We start from the raw sequence: 18,706 nt of genomic DNA on the forward strand, positions 1-18,706 counted from the left end.
AGAGTGACAGTATGCCCTACACAAAGCCCTGAGAAAGCAAACATTTAAAGGATGGGGAGAAGATATTACTAATGCTGAATATTTTGTCTTCATTTTAGAATGATGCTGAAACATTGCAGAAATGTCTTATTTTATGCTATGAACTGTTGAAGCAGATGTCCATTTCAACAGGCTTAAGTGCAACCATGAATGGAATCATCGAATCTTTGGTATGTTGATGGCCTCTTGGGCTTTATTTTAGTCCACTCCTTTCTTATTTTGTAAGTGATATGTTCTTTAGAAATCAAAATAATGAAAAGATTACTGTCTTAAATATCTGATAAGTATAAATGATAAAATATATATATATAGCAGCTACTTCATATTGTGAGGATTAAATAAGATGTCTGTAAAGGACCTGATATGTAAATTACAGTCTTTTACATATTTTAAAAAATGATTTTATACTGGAAAGAGATACAGAATATCTTCATTTTTTGAATAGTAAGAGAGGAGATACTGAAACATACCAAGAATATTTAAGTACTGGAATTGTGCTACGTAATGAGACTGAGACAATCACATTTTATGCCCTGGGAAAGGAATTTATTTATTATATTTAAAGGGCTTTTAAAATAACCCTTTGTAGGTAATTCCCATAGGGACACAAGTACTGTAAGACTCTAGAACATTACTTTCTGATAAGGAATATAGTGCAAACCATATGTAACTTTACATTTTTTAGTAGCCACATTAAAAAAAGTGGCTTTTTTTTAAAGCCACTGTTTTAAAAAAAAAAAAGAGGATAATTTTAGTATATTGAATATATCCAACTGTATTATTTGGATATGTCCAATATATCCAAAATATTAATCATTTCATTATTTACTCACTATTAAAACTGTTGCAATGTTTTACATTCTGTTTTGCATACTAAGTCTTATAGCGCATCTTAAACTGGACTAGTCACATTTCAGGTGTTCAGTAGCCACATGAGGCTAATGGCTACAGTATTAGTGCGCTGTTTTGTTGTTGTTGTTGTTTTTGATAGTACTACTCATTCAAAGCAAATTCTGTATGTAGCCAGGTTCTTACAGAAGTCTCTCAAAACTGTATTTACTTGGTATTAGTGAGAAATAGCCAATGAATGTAATCTGAAGTCTAATTCCTTGGGTTGTCATGAGTTCCTGAATGTAGTAAAGAAAACCAATTTTAATAGTTTAGAGCTTCTGGAGAAATACTGTTTTGTACTCAACCATTAGAATTTAGCTTTATTTTTGGAAAAGCAGTTATCTTTAGTGAAAAGTGATGCTTAATTTGTGCTTGGGCATTTTATGTCTGGTCCTACAAAATTGAAGTAGTAAATACGAAGACTGTATATATGTGGGAAAGGATATACAGTGTTATGTGAAGAATAAACACAAAATTGAATGATCATAATGATTTTAAATGTATAAAAATCTGGTTAAAGATTGAAAGAGATTAGTAGAGGAATATAAAAGATGTTTGGATAAAAGTTATATTTTTATGAAGTTACTGTGTTTTAAATAAAAGATTTAATTATTCATTGGGAAAATACAAATTATTCATTGAGCAAATATTTACTGAACATCTATTACATACTAAGTGCTGGGATGGTACATGGTATACAAAATAGATATAGATTGCCCACGTTGATCTGGTCAAGTGAGAGGAGCATCGATTAAGTAAAGAAATAAGTGAAACTTTGTGCTATTAGTGCTTGCTATGAAGAAGAGCTATATGGCCGTATGTGAACTTATAATAGCAGGATTTGAACTATTCATGGAAGGTGACCCTGGTCTGATATTTGAGTAGACATTACATGTATGAAAAAGTGAGAGAAGATTGTTTAATATGGTAGCTGTCAGCCACACATGGCTTTTAAAAACTAGACCAAAATGAGATATGCTGTAAGGATTAAAAACATGTTGGGGGTTGGGCGTGGTGGCTCACACCTGTAATCCTAGTACATTGGGAGGCCAAGGCGGGATGGCTTGAGCTCAGGAGTTTGAGACCAGCCTGGGCAACATGGTGAAACCCCATCTCTGCAAAAAAATAGAAAAATTAGCCAAGGGTGGTGACTCGGGCCTGTGCTGTCAGCTACTTGGGAGGCTGAGGTAGGAGGATCACTTAAGCTTAGGAGGCTGAGGTTGCAGTGAGCCGAGATTGCGCCACTGCACTCCAGCCTGGGTGACAGCGTGAGACTCTGTCTCAAAAAAAAAAGAAAAGAAAAAAGAAAAAACCATGTTGGGTTTCAAAGACTAGTACAAAGAACAGAAGGTAACTTATCTTGTTAATAGTATTTATATTGATTAAATACTACAGATACGATGTTTTGGTTATATTGAGTTAAATATATTAAGACTAGTTTCACTTTTTTTTTTTTTTTTACTTCAATGTGGTGGCTACTAGAAAATTTAACATGACATATGTGGTACCCATTTGTGACTTCTATTATATTTCTGTTGGATAGCATTGAATCCAAGCCAGACTAGTTGAACAAACTGAGCAAGAGGTAGCATGGTATAAGAAGATTGGGAAAGAAACTACACAATAGGGAATAGTATATATCATGTTAAGGAGTTTTATCTTGTTCTGTGAGCATTGGGAAACCATTGAGTCCCTTTTAGCAGGTGGAGGGGAGGTATCATGGTCAGACCCTATTTCAGGAAGGTCACTCTGGCTATATTGTTCTGTTTTAGCAATTTAATACTTACCTTTTCTTTAAAAGTGAAAAATGACACCTTTGAGGTAATAGACAATAGGGAAATGAAGTAGATCTATGAAATCATATGGAAAATTTCTGATTCATTTTAGATTCTTCCTGGAATAATAAGTATTCATCCTGTTGTAAGAAACCTGGCTGTTTTATGCTTGGGATGCTGTGGACTACAGAATCAGGATTTTGCAAGGAAACACTTCGTATTACTATTGCAGGTAGGATTTATCTTGTGATAAATCTCAACTGTATTTCCTGAAATACTCTGTGGCGATAATGCTAATACTCTGAATTTATCTATTCTGATTCTTATTGATGATGATTATTATGGATAATCTTTGGAGACACAATACTTTTATCTTTTGATTTCTTATTAAAATGTCTTTGTAGAAAAAGATGAAACGCCAATTATGTAAGATATTCTTTTAATTATTCACATAGCAAATACTTATTGAGTGCGTATTATGTGCCAGCAACTGTTCTAGACTTAGAAGAAATAAAGTAGGTAGGTAGTGAATAAAACAAGATAAAATGTGTTGTCTTAATGGAGCTTACATTCTAGAAGGGGAAACACACAGTGAAAAATAAGTATACAATGTATCAGATAGAGAAAAATAAAGCAGAGAAGGGGATTAAGCAGTGGGAAGGAGGAGAGGGAACTGTTTGGTTGAGAAAGACCTCACTAATAAGTTGACATTTGAGCAAATACCAGAAGGAAGTACAAGAGCGAACCACGTGGTTATTTGGGTTTCCAAGGAGAGGCAAGAATAAGGGAATAGGCACTGGGGTGTAGGACTTTGGGTGTGTTCAAGGAATAAGAGAACACATGGCTAGGAAAGATTGAGCAAAGGGAAGAATAATAGGAAAAAGGGTTTGCTGGCAGCAGGATGTCCATGTCTTCTAGGACCTTATAGACTGTAAAGATGTCAGTTTTCACTATAAATGAGATGGAAAGGAATTCGAGGGCTTTGAGTAGAAGATTGTTATGATCTGACTGGGCATAAAGTGGTGTAGACCAGGGAGGGTTTGGCAAACCTTTTGTGTACAGGGCCAGAGAGTAAATATTTTTAGATTTTTGTGGGCCATATGATCTGTCTGAACTCCTCAGCTTTGCTTTTGTAGTGTGAAGACAGCTGTAGATAATACATAAATGAATTAGTATGGCTGTAGTCCAGTAAAACTTTATGGACACTGAAATTTGAATTTCATGTAATTTTCACATGTAATACATTTTTTTAAACCATTTGAAAATGCAAAACTTCCTAACTTGCAGGCTATGCAAAAACAGGTGGTTGAATGGATTTGAGCTGTTTGCAGATCCCTAGTATTAAGTAGGGGTACAAGTATGGAAGCAGGGATACTAATAAGGAGGGTATTTGATAATCTAGGAAAGCGATGGCGATGGTTTGGACGAGGGTTGTGGTTACTGAGGTTGTGAGCAGGATGGTAATCTAAGTTTGAAAATAAAGTCTAAGATTTGCTAATGAATCTGACATGGTATGTGAGAGAAAGGTGGAGGATAATTTAAAGATTTGCGCCAGAATAACTGGATGGATGAATTTGCGTTTTCCTATGATGGGGAAAGCAGAGGAGCAGGTTTTGTAGCAGATAGGATGAAATAAGGAGTTCAATATTGGGCATGATAAGTTTACAGTTTAAGGTACAAGTGGATATATTGAATAGGCATTTATATATGAGTTTGGAGTATAGGGGAGAGGTCCAAGATGGTGAGATGGAAGTCTTTATTCTTTTGGTAGTATCTGATAGTATGCAACGCTTAGAGATAGGATGTTGCCTGAGGAATGAGTATAGACTGAATGAGTGTAGGGTCAACTTTATAGGACCCTAAGCCTCAGATAAAGGTAGGGGAGATGAAGAGGAACCAGTAGGGGCTAAGGTGAATTGGACAGTAAAAGAGGAATGGTGTGATTTCCTGGAAAGCAAGTGAAGATAATATTTTAAAGATGATAGAATGACCCAGCTGTCCCGTGTTGCTTCATAATGGACCATTCTGGATTTATAATGGACCATTTCTGGCAATCAGGAACTGCTCTTGAAATTTCTTTAAAAGTTTTGAAAAATTGAGCCATTTTTCTCAATTCATTATTTACAGGTGATATTTATTTGTTCTAAAAGCCAAGTTATAGAGCCAAGTTATTTTACCAATTACCTAAATTTAATTACATTAAAGAATATAGTAAATTGGCACACACCCGTAATCCCAGCACTTTGGGAGGCTGAGGCAGGTTGATCATGAGATCAGGAGTTTGAGACCAGGTTGACCAATGTGGTGAAACCCCCATCTCTACTAAAAATACAAAAATTAGCCAGGCATGGTGGTATGTGCCTGTAATCCCAGCTACTCAGGAGGCTGAGGCAGGAGAAACCCCCATCTACTAAAAATACAAAAATTAACCAGGCGTGGTGGTATGTGCCTGTAATCCCAGCTGCTCAGGAGGCTGAGGCAGGAGAATCGCTTGAACCCGGGAGGTGGAGGTTGCAGTGAGCTGAGATTGCGCTATTATGCTCCAGGCTGGGCAACAGAGTGACACTCCATCTCAAAAAAAAAAAATATATATATATATTTTTGTTGTTGTTGTTGTTGTTGTTGTTATATATATCTTATTTTTCCTACTGGATTTTAAATTTGGATAGACATTTTTATTTTACTTTTTTAATATCTTAATTAAATCCTAACTTTCACTATCATACTTAATTTCTCACTATATATATATATTTTTTGTAATATAAATACTGAGCTCTGTATTTTTTTCATGGCTTTGAAATTTGGTGGGCATTTTTAAACTTAAGATAGACTCATACAAAGTGCTGTGTTTCGTGATTTACGTCTTTTCATAAAGGAGTCTAGTTGAAAACTGAGTTTACTGTTAAGGAATTCTAAATTCATTGAGCTAATGAGAGAAAAATGAAACTTGATAACCTAGAAGAATACTGTTCTAATGAATGCCTTTCATTGCTTAGAATGTAATGTTTTTCTCTTGACAGATGGGCTAGAACACTTTCAACATAATTGAACAGTTTTTCTGGATCTTAAAAAAATAAAATCATAGTTGAAGGCATTGTTGATTCTTTTTTAAATAAAAGGAACAAATAATATAATTCAGCCTGACTCCAACTCCAGAAATTTTTATTGACTGTGAAGATTAACTTTGTCTTAAAGTATATAGCTCTATTATATGTTATGGTTCAAATAAATAAAAATAACATTTTTTTAAATTGAAATTTTAACTGTATTTTTGAAAAGTGATGTTTTCTTTAGACTAGACACTGTCATTAAAATTTGACTAAGAAAAAAACAAGATACATATTAATTTTATGTAAACAGAAACAAAACAGTTTACTGAATTTACTTTTTTTGGTGGGGAATATCTTGATTTAGGTTTTGCAAATTGATGATGTCACAATAAAAATAAGTGCTTTAAAGGCAATCTTTGACCAACTGATGACGTTCGGGATTGAACCATTTAAAACTAAAAAAATCAAAACACTTCATTGTGAAGGTACAGAAATAAACAGTGATGATGAGCAAGAATCAAAAGAAGTTGAAGAGACTGCTACAGCTAAGAATGTTCTGAAACTCCTTTCTGATTTCTTAGATAGTGAGGTAAGAAATAATCCAGTCCTGTGATTATGAAATGTCATTTTCAGCATGTATTTGTTTATTATTATTATTTTTTAAATTTATTATAGTTTAAGTCCTGTGATACATGTGCAGAACATACAGGTTTGTTACATAGGTATACATGTGCCATGGTGGTTTGCTGCACCCATCAACCCATCTACATTAGGTATTTCTCCTAACGCTATCCCTCCCCTACCCCCCTATCCCCTGATAGGTCCCAGTGTGTGATGTTCCTCTCCCCTATGCTCTTTATATCTTATTTTTCCTACTGGATTTTAAATTTGGATAGACATTTTTTATTTTACTTTTTAAATATCTTAATTAAATCCTAACTTTCACTATCATACCTAATTTCTCACTATCAAATTGTATATGCAAAGAAATGAAGTATAAACAAAAATGAAGTGATTAAAGTGGGTTGTTATTTTTTATTTCTTTATGTTGTATTTGTGATATAGAGACTCTAAGATTTATCCCCAAGACTTTTAAGAAATAGTTTAGAATAATTTTATATTGGGTGGGTAGAAGATGTAAGATAGGGTATGGGATTGGATCTCTTTTAAGTACTCTTGAACTACTATTTTTGTAGCACACATGTAAACCAACTGATTAAAAATTTTTTATACTGATTGTAGTTTTTCATTGAGTTAGAAGTGATATAACAAAACTTAATTTTATTTTTTTGAGATAGGGTCTTGCTCTGTCATCAGGCTGGAGTGCAGTGGCGTGATCATAGTCCACTGACCCCTCACCTGCTGGGTTCAAGCAATCCTCCTGAATAGCTGGAATGACAGGCATGTGCCACCATGCCCGCTGATTTTTAAATTTTTTGTAGAGACAGGGTCTCGCTCTGTTGCCCAGGCTGGTCTTGAACTCCTGGCCTCAAGTGATCCTCCTGCCTCAGCCTCCCAGAGTGCTGGGATTACAAGTGTGAGCCCTCGTGCCTGGCCCAAACTAATACTGTTAATGTGAACAATTCATTGGCATTTAGTACATTCAAAATGAAAGGCAACTACCACCTTTATCATCTAATTTAAAACATTGTCATCATCCCAAAAGGAAACTACTCATTAAGCAGTTGCTCCTCATTCCCCCTTCTGCCAGCCCTGACAGCAACCAATCCGCAGTCTGTTTCTATGGATTTAACTGTTCTGGATATTTTGTGTAAGTGGAATCATACAGTATGTGACCTCTGTTTAGCTTTTTAAATTTAGCATAACATTTTCGAGATTCATCCACATGGTATCTTGTATCAGTACTCCGTTCCTTTTTGTAGCCGAATACTCCATTTTATGTATATATGGTGATTTGTTTATGCATTCATCCATTGAAGGACAGTTGGGCTGTTTCTACCTTTTGGCTATTGTGAATAGTGCTGCTTACTATGAACATGGCATGTATATGTATTTGTTTGAGTAGCTGTTTCAATTCTTTTGGGTATCTGTATACCTAGGAATTGTGTTGCTCAGTCATTTAACTTTTTGGGAACTTGACAAACTGTTTTCCACAGTGATTGAACCATTTTAAATTTCCATCTTCAGTGTAGAAGGTTTTCCATTTCTCCACATCCTTATTGACACTTAGGTTCCATTTTTTAAAACATTATAGCTATCCTAGTATATATGAAGTGCTACTTCATTGTGGTTTTGATTTGCATTTCCTTAATGACTAGTGATGTTGAGTATCTTTTCATCTGCTTCTTGGCCATTTGTATATTTTGTTTGGATAAATGTCTGTTCAAGTCCTTTGCCCATTTTTAAGTTGGGTTGGTTGTCTTTATAGAGTTCTTTATATAGTTTGGGTAGTAGATCCTTATCAGGTATAATTTGTAACTTTTATTTTACAGGTTGTCTTTTTACTTTCTTGTTAATATACTTAGATGTATTAAACATTTTTAATTTTGGAGATACACTCATTTTTTTCTTTTGTTGCTTCTGCTTTTGGTGTCCTATCTAAGAATCCAGTGCTAAGTCTAAGTCATGAAGATTTATCCCTGTTTTCTTCTGAGAGTTTTCTGGCTTTAGCTTTTATATTTAGGCTGTTGATGCATTTTCAGTTAATATTTGTATATGGTCTAAGGTCCAGCTTCATTGTTTTGCCTGTGTACATCCAGTTGTCTTTTCCTTTGTCTTCTCTAGACTTTTGTTTACTTTTTCTAGGAATGCCTTCTGCTTCAACACCTTCTGTTCACATTCTATCCATTATTCAGACAAATTGCACTCCTACATATGGAGCTTTTGCTTATAGATAGGCACCTTCCTCTAATACCAGGGGCCAGGGTTTTCTATGTCTTAGAAACCCTAAGCATTTAAATATATGTTTTGCTCTTTTTTTCCAACAGTTATAAAAGGCCTTTTGGTTCTTCTAAAAAGTTTTAAGATAATTGAATTTTTCATGGCTAGACTAAGCATTTGTCTAGTCTCCTAGTCTTTTAGATTTGTCTAAAATTGTTATTCTAGCTTTGAAGAAACAGTCTTTTTATTTGCCTTTAAAGAATTTGTAATAACTCGAATGGTTTTTGGATGGTTCGTGTAAAAATACTGTAGGACAGGCTACATTGAGAGGCTTAAAAAGGAGATACAAATAAATTTCTTCTAATGAATGTCATCTTTGTTAGGTATCTGAACTTAGGACTGGAGCTGCAGAAGGACTAGCCAAGCTGATGTTCTCTGGGCTTTTGGTCAGCAGCAGGATTCTTTCTCGTCTTATTTTGTTATGGTACAATCCTGTGACTGAAGAGGATGTTCAACTTCGACATTGCCTAGGCGTGTTCTTCCCCGTGTTTGCTTATGCAAGCAGGTATTGAGTCATACTGATAAATCAAAAATCTGACTTGACATCAAATTCAAGTCCCCCATGAATTATATCTATAATGATATTTTGTTGTTGATACTTTTTCTGTCTTTAGTAGATAAATGATGAAATGACAAGAACGATACAGATTTTATCTATCTGAATTTTTGGCTCTTTCCTAGATGAAAATGCACTTAATGAGTGAATTTCCTACATAGTAGTTTTGAATTTCATACTTTTTCTCTCATCAAATAATGTTCTGCCAACATACTTTGAATTTGTTTCTCAATAGGACTAATCAGGAATGCTTTGAAGAAGCTTTTCTTCCAACCCTGCAAACACTGGCCAATGCCCCTGCATCTTCTCCTTTAGCTGAAATTGATATCACAAATGTTGCTGAGTTACTTGTAGATTTGACAAGACCAAGTGGATTAAATCCTCAGGCCAAGACTTCCCAAGATTATCAGGTGAGTGACTGTGGTAACTGCATGCAGATCACTGTTTTGGTAAAATAATCTCTCTCAAAGATCCCTTGAAATACTGAGGAACTGCATTTTGGTCTTTAGACTTCTGTCTCAAGCATATACCACAAAGCACGAAAGAAACATGACCTTGGGAAATGTGGAGAAATCATATGAAAACAGAAGTAATCAATGCTAACATTTTTGCTACTGAAAAGAAATTACTAAAAATCCACCACCCACACCATGCCCACCTAGTACTGACTGTTAATCTGAAGTAATAACCTATGTTATCTAGGACTCACAGAGTCTTCAAATGTTGGCTTACCTGCTATGCTTCTGGCACAAGAAAGGAGAATTCAAAGACTAGAACTCACCTCAAGCTTTTTTGGCTTTTAATTCAAAGAAGATAAATCAATTGCACACTGACTCACAGACTGAACTTAAGCTGGGTTGTTTTAATCCTTTAATGGCATTTGGTCAAACTTGTTACCATTTTTGAAATTTAATGTATTAGTGATTTCAGATGCTAACAGATTAAGTTGAAAGTATTACTCTATTTTATTTGATATTTAGTGATAAGCTACTCTGTTCAATTCATATGTTGTATATTATTGGAAAGATAAGATTACAAAGGATATTAGGCAAAATTAGGTAAGGGTCAGTAATAGAGCTATTAAGCACTTCATGACTTGAGACAAGGGCAAGAGTCATGTGGTAGGAATGATGAGTACAGCATTAGTTTTAAAACTCATTGACCAAAATTCAGTTAGGCCTTGTTGGTATTTGGGGAGTGGTTTGGGTAGAGGAAGGATGTTTTAGTAAAGGTGATATATGTAGATGGTTATGCAAATATTGGGGAACTGTAGAAAGATGACTTTGGCTAAGGATCCTGAATAGGACTGTTAGGGCACAACACTGGGGGTAGATTATAGATTGCTTTAAAGGCCAATGTAGGGAATTTGGAGTTGGCCTTATGTGCAATGGATAATTATGCAGGGCTTATGATGAAAGGGTTAATGTCATGAAAACCACTTATTGGAAAGATTAATTTGGTGGTCAGTGGTGGTTATATGAGATGAATTGGTGAGCAGAAAGAAAAGAATATTAATAAAGAAAGCAGCTGAAAATCTGTATAATTCGCTTGTAGAAAAAGTACTAGAAAGTAATAGTAGAAAGAATAGAAATTGACCTAATAAAGAATTATGGGTACAAGAATCTAAAAGAAAGAGCTTGAGAGGCAAGGGAGATGGAGGAGTCCAGGAAAACTCTAAGTATGTGTAACAGCAGACTTCAAAGGAGCTGTTGACATAGTTTAATTGGGGAGTACTCTCATGATCAGTGTCTTGGAAGAGTAAGGGAAAAGTAGATTGGGGCATAGCCCTAAGTTCAACTACTGCTATGCAAACAAAGGCCCCAGCCAATCCCATAGGGAGTTCCGGAACTGGGATGTTCCTTTGAGTTGTCCAGAATGGAGACAAGCTGAAACACTGTACTTGTGCACGGGCCAGTCATTGGATTTGGACAAATCTTTGGGAGAAGAGGTATGATCTTGGACAAGGTCCACCAAAGTCCACCATTGTCAGCCTGGATCAGTACTGCAGCTGGGAACTTTTACCCTCCAAAACATGCAGCAACTGGGGGATGAGTGCATCTTTCCTAAAGGGAGTGGAACTGGGCCCTATATCACAACATCCACAACAAGAAGTCAAGAAGGGGAGCTTATTTTGGGGGTAGGGAGGATGTTAAATTTGGTTTTAGACATTTTATATTTGGGATTATGGCAAGAAAATTAGTTGGAAATATTTGTTAGATGTGTAAGACTATATAATAATCATAATCATCTTCAATTTACAGAGAATTTTCTCTTAATTTTTTAGGCCTTAACAGTACATGACAATTTGGCTATGAAAATTTGCAATGAGATCTTAACAAGTCCGTGCTCGCCAGAAATTCGAGTCTATACAAAAGCCTTGAGTTCTTTAGAACTCAGTAGCCATCTTGCAAAAGATCTTCTGGTTCTATTGAATGAGATTCTGGAGGTAAAGTAGTTTCTCATTACTCTAAATTAGTTTGTGTTTATATTTATACATGTAGAATTTACATGGTTGTATTAGATTATACATATGTTAGCATATTGTGACTTATTTGAAGTATTTTCTTCATAAATTTCATATAATTTAGTGTTTTTAAACAACTTGATATGTATTGGTACTATTTTCAAAGATTAGGGAATGCGGTGTTTACAAAATGTTAATAATGTTTTCTTTTATAGCAAGTAAAAGATAGGACATGTCTGAGAGCTTTGGAGAAAATCAAGATTCAGTTAGAAAAAGGAAATAAAGAATTTGGTGACCAAGCTGAAGCAGCACAGGATGCCACCTTGACTACAACTACTTTCCAAAATGAAGATGGTAATCACATACTGAACAGAATATTTATAAGGTTCTGTTTTTTTTTTTCCATCTTTACTGAGACATATTTTTTTCTACTCTAACATGTTTGGTTGGACATCAGAAATGAATGAAATTTTTTTTCTAATTAATCCTCTTGGGAAAGAGCATTACTGATAAATGTTTATTCTGCTTTTCAAGTGTTTTTTGGCATGCATTTCTCAACATATGACCATCTTTTTAAGAGTTTTGCTTCTTTTTCCAATATTCAAATTTTCGAAAGGGTGATTTATAACTTTTCACTAGCTGCTAGAAGGACTTTGTCATTTCAGTTTTATAAAAACTGGTCTTAAAAAGACAATTTAAAATATTTCATGAGGTTATCTTATTTATATTGTTGTATTATTCCCTTTAATAGAAAAGAATAAAGAAGTATATATGACTCCACTCAGGGGTGTAAAAGCAACCCAAGCATCAAAGTCTACTCAGCTAAAGACTAACAGAGGTAGTGTGTGGATTGACCATCTTTATGATAAAAGTTTTAAATTTTATCTTCCAATGAAAAATACTTGTTTTGCAAGTTTTCTTATCTTTGTTTCCTTAGGGATAAAGATTTTTTTTAAAATGTCTTTGGTATCCTTTCTTTTTAATTCTTTCTGTGGATGTCAGTTTTTGCCTTGTGTCTAAAGATTATAAAATCAGTGTTGCTCTTGGTGCTTTAGATTGAAAGAAGTATGATGCAAAAGATATTACAAAAGACAATTTGGGTTAAATTAAGATTTGGTTAAATGATGGTTTTATATTAGTTATTTGTGTTCTATCCTTCCTGTAACTAAGCATTTTTAAAAAATCCCTGTAGTATTTTTCTGGGCTTTGTTTTCCTTCTATTCCCATCTTATTTCATATTTTCCCAACTTATTTCCCAAGGGCTATCCAACAATAGGGGATCTGTTGGCAAAGTAAATGCTGACTATTAGGGGGTCACTTGGAAAAAAATCTGAAATTCAAGATCTTTTTATTGTTTTATTATTTCCTCATTACAAAAGCAATGCATGCTTATTACAGAAGAATCAGAAAGTACATCCAGACAAACTACTATAAGGAACACTAATAATCCCACCCATGAGCCAACCATGATTTTGATTTTAGAAATCTATTTTTTAAGGCCCTTTTCGATGCAGATTTAATTTTTTCTAAAATGGAGTCTGGTCATAATATTGTTTTGTAACCAGTAAATTATTTAAATACCAATTGCTGGATATTGTTCCAAATTAGTCCCATATTGTTGGATGTTTTCTTGGGGATAAATGCATTAGTAAAAGCAGGTAAGGAGTAGAAAAAAGTGTAACATGAATGAAGTAGAGTATATAATTTTCAGACTGTCACATTGAACAGTTTGGTTTTGATCAGATTTTTTTTGTGGTATATCACACCATGAGAACACCATCCTTTTTAATAGACCAAACTTCATATATTCATATTGTTTTATTCCTTATAAATGAGAAACATCACAAGCCAAACTTTGTCTTACTCCTTAACCTTGTAAATTTCTAGTAAGTAGAATCTTATAATCCCCAGTATATAAAGGTTCTAGTTTTTACATTGAAATATATTTTAGAACACATTTGAATTGGTCATGTATGTTATTTTACAAGAAGCCATTATTACCTTACTATGTTTTATCACCTTCCAAGAAAAAAAAAAGTTGTTTCTTTAGCACCTGTTTATGCACCTAACCTACCTTTCTAACCCTTAATTTTCATGAGTCTCCACAGACTTTGTGCTATAGCAATAATAGAGGTACTTCATTATAACACATTTTTCATATACTGTCCTCAAATACATTGAACTAAAATTTGCCTTCTTTTAACTTGCTTGAAATTTCCTTATTTTCCCTTACTCATTATTAGTGCTTACAAAATAAATTAAGTTTTAATCTTGCTTGGGTTCCTTTTTCTGTGGCAGTGATAACTGGTACCAAGATGGCTAGAACAAGTAGGAGATACATGTGTTGAAAGGATTGTTGTGTTGAAGACAAAGGATTTAGTTAGCCTAGAAACTAGATTAAAAACAAAAAGCAACTGATAATAAATCCTGATAATGAATTATACTATCTTCAAGGACAGAGAAAAGTGACAGTTTCAGCTAGGACGAACAGGAGGTGTCAGACTGCTGAAGCCGACTCTGAAAGGTATGTCATGCATGTCTAGAATATATGGAGGCCTATCTTCACTTTTTATTTCTACAAGTAGAAAAAAACTAATTTTCTTGCGAATGAGAGAGAATATATAACAAGATAGTGAAAACTATAAATAGCTGTCTTAGGTATATAGTCTAAAATTCCATCATCAAGAGCATTTGACTTCTTACGGCGTGTTTGCTTTTGCCTATTAGCTGGCATGGTCTTTAGTACTATCTTTAATATGTTGTTTCAATTTTTAATTACATGATGTGACTCCTCTTTGATCTTCAGTTAGCAAACTCTTGATTTTGATAATATTTGGGTTCTCTACACTTACATACTGATAGAATAATTCTGTCTATAATTTGGGTATATTGTGTGGTAGAGTGTTTTATTTTTGGCTTCTGTCAGTCAAGCCACTGTTAGAGCTGAAAGTTGGTAGCTGTCTTGTATTCATTTGCAAAATTGTATTGTGTGTATTTTCAGTACATAGTTTTACACTGTTGATTAAATTTGTCTTTTTTGGGGGGAAACTTGTTTTTTACTATGTTTTTGGAATTTATTGCTTAAATCAAGAGAGAGAACTTAATTTTTTTGTCACTTCTTGAGTTTCAAAGAAATCTCTTTTGGACAGTTATGGTCCTCGTTTAATTACAAGCTTCATTACAAGTTTGTGGCTTTTTTTCCTGTATAACACCAGGTTCTGTTATAGTATATAAAATCATTAGCTAGATTTTCCCTGATTCACTTTGCTAGATAGCCAAGTCAGTGTTTTTTTGACATTGAGATTTTAGTTTTAAGCTAAGTCAATGGAATCAGGCTATCAATTAAACACTGATAGAATGTGAGTCAGAAACAAAAAAGTTTTATTTATAAATAAACTGGTTTTAAAGCTTGTATCTAAATTCGTGTATTTTCAACATCTATTTAGTGATCATGAAGTTCCAGAACCAGAATCAGAAATGAAGATGAGACTACCAAGACGAGCCAAAACCGCAGCACTAGAAAAAAGTAAACTTAACCTTGCCCAATTTCTCAATGAAGATCTAAGTTAGGAAAGACGATGGAGGTGGAATCCTTTAAGATTATGTCCAGTTATTTGCTTTAATAAAGAAGAAGTTACCCTTGTCAAAATCAGAACAAACCTGATGTCTTTCTGAAGATTTTCTGCTGTGCGCTTCCACGTTACTTTGGCCTGTATTAAAGCAGTAGAGCAGCATCAGTTATTATAGTCCAGAAAAAGTGTGCATCAGTCAGTCACACAGATTTATCACAATCTGAGGTGGGCCTAGGAATCTCATTTTTAAATAGTCTCTCCAAGTGATTCTTATGAACTCTTTATGTTTAAAATCATGTCATTATGGAAAACTTACAAGTGTAACTAGCTAGTAGCTTGCATTTGAGAAGCTTATGACTTAGATGGGCAGAATCAACAAAGATGAAACCGCCTGAGGACACATTTAACAAGTAACATTTCTAGGGAAAATGAAGGAAGTACCACAAACTGGCTAGAAAGGAGCTTATCAATCACCAGTGAGGAAGACCAGTATAACGTTCAACAACAGTTATTTTGACAAAAACTTATTTTGTGATTCCTACAGTGAAAACATTTTTGGTGATATCTGCCTGGGAAATCTCTCTTCCTAAAGTATTTGTATATGGGAGTCCTTGTTTGTGAATGTTTCCTGGATTAGGGAGGTGTCAACATAAATGTATTATTAACCATGAAGCTGCTCGCTATATTTTTGGCATAACAAAATAATATTTATTTACTGTGGATAATAATTCTAGTGGGAATATAATGTGACAGGAACTTCTCTTTATATACGCTACCAATTTATGAGCACTATTCACTGTCAATTTCATTTCTTGTCTTTTGAAATTGACACTTGGCCTGACTTACGAAACTTGTACTATATGAAATTGGTCCTCTTTTCTGCAATACCCAACGAAACACCTTTTCTCTTTATTATTCAGAAATGTCCTAACATGGATCTGTTTGTTTTAATAATTGTGCTTTTTTTAGGCTTATCATCTACTAGAGGCCATTTACTTAAGGTGAAATTTTAAGATGGAGCTAAAGTAAGATCACTGGTTTTTAGAACCAAATTGCTATACATATGTGCCTCATAGAACTTATAAAAGGAGTCAAAGTTTCAAAGCAAGATAGTTATTAAGCAAAAGGAAAAATGGTAATGATAGAAAGTCAGTTAAAAATAGATGATTGTTCTTCATTCTGTTTGTTGGCTCTGTGTTCTCCTGTGCTTCAGATTCCTTATGTGTTGTTGTTTTAAAGACAATTTGCAGGGGGTTGGGAGAAGGACTGAAAAGGTACATTAAGTGTGCTGTAAGGAAAAGTCTTAGAAACATAATAAGCTAAAATCCCATTCACACATGGCCAGGCTATCCAAAAAGAAAGGAGCCATGTTCTCATGTGGTTTACCATACCAAAGCTTGCTTTCTCTGGCATGGGAAAAATAAATTTAAGCACCAAACCTTTAGTATTCTGAGTATTCAGTTTTTAGACATAGTCATGTAGCCATTGCTGAAACTGTGCTTTGCACTATTAAAGGTAGGGAATGTCCTGCTTTTAAAAGTCATCCCTTTAACTTTAAAATAAAAGGCTAAGGTACAATAAAACAGATGTAAATCCATTTACCATTTTTCATTCAAAACTGGTAACTTACAGAAACCACATAGTATTTTTCTCTATCAAGAGGCACAGATTTGCTGAACAGTAAACATGCAATTGTGCCATTGCTCTTAAAGCCCACAGACTTAGATTTAAAATACAGAGAAAGAACTGATAAGCTCACATTTTCCTGTGAATGGGAAACATGCTACTTGACAAAAAGCTATGATCAACTTTTTTTCTTCTGTACATATATAACGTTGAAGGAGATTTACTTCTAAGAGATACCTTTGCCTTTTCTTTCACCAATTTGCTTCGAGGTAGTTGGTATCCACCTGTTTTACAACTGCTCATGGGTCAGGTTATCATCACAAATCTTTACAATACTAGCTTTATAAATCACAATGTGTTATATATTAAAACTTTGTGCACAGAAATAAAACTAGGGACAATTACGTATTTAAACTTAGGGCATAAAAAATTCACATAATACCACTAAAAGAGAAACATCAAAATCCGTTTACAAAATTCCACAATGATCTGATGTAAAACATGTAAAAAAAACATATAAAGAATATAATCAAAATGATTAATGCTAATGATTTAATATAAAGACAAATCACAGGACTAGAAATACTTCAAGATCAATTGATAAATGCTTATTGTTCAGAAGGAATACTGACATACAAAATAAAGATAGTGCAAGAAGAACTGCAATCTATTTCTCTTCGCTTTTGAGATTTTGGTTATGAACTGTACAGCTCGTTAGAGATGCTGTTGTCAAATTCAGATTCCATTCAATGGGACGATTAAGGCACATCTTAATGGGGCTCAAAGGGCAACTTGCTGTATTCTCATCAGACACATTCAGTTTCTCATCAGTTTTCACTTGTAGCATGCTGGAAGAAAAAGTGTAAGGCATTTTAGTTTTACTTTAATTTCAAAGTAATTATCAACCTTGTAAAAGAACATTTAGTTGTAGTAGTGTTTGGACCTCTAAATTTTAGCATACATAAAGCATTTATCCTGAAAATACAACAGTTTTCTCTCCCGCCTACTTACTGAACTAAATACAATGAATAATGCCATGTAACCTGTGTAACTTGAGAAGTTACATATGACTGAAAAAGTAACATTGCATATATGGATTACATCAGTATACATCAGAAATTATTTAACCTTGTGAGCCTGGTAGGATTCAACCCTTTTAACTTGCCCTTTTGTGGATCAGAATGAGAGCCACTTTGAGAAAAAAAAGGGATCAACATTTGTTGAATGCCTATTACGTTCTAGCCACCTTCACATGTATTGTCTCATCTGAATTTTGCAAAAGCCAAGTAAGGTTGGTATGCTTATCCTCATAGTAAACAATAAAATCAAGACTCTGAGAGTTAAGTACAAATATGCCTGAGGTCATACAGTCACCTGCCTGGAACTGGAATACAGCCCTTTCTCTTTTCCTTATGCTTGTCTACTAAGCTCTCTGATGAGGCTGGAAAAACATCAGGAATTAAACTTATGGCCAGCTCATCAGAGGAGCATGCGGCATCCACAGGATACTCTGGTTGTTTTTTCTGTTGAAAAAAATTTCCAAGAATTTTTTACATTGATGGGAAAGTTGGCTTATTTGGCTTTACATTAGGTTGGTCAGATCTCTTCAACATTATTCTTTAATATACACCCTCTGTTCTGGACTGGTGTCTTATTCCACAAGTTCATGAGCACAGTCCTGTCTGTTCCTAAATGTTCCCACATAGGGAACCTTGCTCACCACTCTGCTTAACCAAACCTTTACCCATGCCTAATCCAATCTCACATCTCTGAACTTGCTCTCAGTAAAACATTGCATTGGATTGTGAACTATTTGGGGTTCTCCACTATTG

At 34.4% G+C, this 18,706-nt stretch overlaps 2 protein-coding genes across 18 annotated transcripts in view; one reads left to right on the forward strand and one right to left on the reverse strand.

Moving 5' to 3' along the window:
• Positions 1–16,686, forward strand: part of NCAPG (non-SMC condensin I complex subunit G) — a 33,887-nt gene extending 17,201 nt beyond the window's left edge. For all 5 annotated transcript variants that reach the window (NR_073124.2, XM_017008543.3, NM_022346.5 and 2 more), the window contains 10 exons: positions 99–209; positions 2,818–2,937; positions 6,120–6,344; positions 8,980–9,161; positions 9,448–9,622; positions 11,497–11,658; positions 11,892–12,030; positions 12,428–12,514; positions 14,131–14,200; positions 15,123–16,686. Coding sequence is in view for 4 of the 5 variants with exons in the window: in XM_017008543.3 (XP_016864032.1) it covers positions 99–209; positions 2,818–2,937; positions 6,120–6,344; positions 8,980–9,161; positions 9,448–9,622; positions 11,497–11,658; positions 11,892–12,030; positions 12,428–12,514; positions 14,131–14,200; positions 15,123–15,246 (1,395 nt within the window). In the remaining variant the exon portion in view is untranslated. The remainder of the gene's footprint in view (positions 1–98; positions 210–2,817; positions 2,938–6,119; positions 6,345–8,979; positions 9,162–9,447; positions 9,623–11,496; positions 11,659–11,891; positions 12,031–12,427; positions 12,515–14,130; positions 14,201–15,122) is intronic.
• The window catches only part of LCORL (ligand dependent nuclear receptor corepressor like), a 180,689-nt gene continuing 174,990 nt past the window's right edge, over positions 13,008–18,706 (reverse strand). For 9 of the 13 annotated variants that reach the window (NR_158566.1, NR_158563.1, NR_158568.1 and 6 more), the window contains one exon: positions 13,020–17,722. Coding sequence is in view for 7 of the 13 variants with exons in the window: in NM_153686.8 (NP_710153.2) it covers positions 17,542–17,722 (181 nt within the window). In the remaining 6 variants the exon portion in view is untranslated. Of the gene's footprint in view, positions 17,723–18,706 lie in introns of all 13 variants that reach the window. The other 4 variants (NR_136669.3, XM_047449965.1, XM_017007965.2 and 1 more) reach the window with 1 other exon arrangement.

This window comes from Homo sapiens, chromosome 4 (assembly GCF_000001405.40).
Source record: "Homo sapiens chromosome 4, GRCh38.p14 Primary Assembly".
Taxonomy (NCBI): domain Eukaryota; kingdom Metazoa; phylum Chordata; class Mammalia; order Primates; family Hominidae; genus Homo; species Homo sapiens.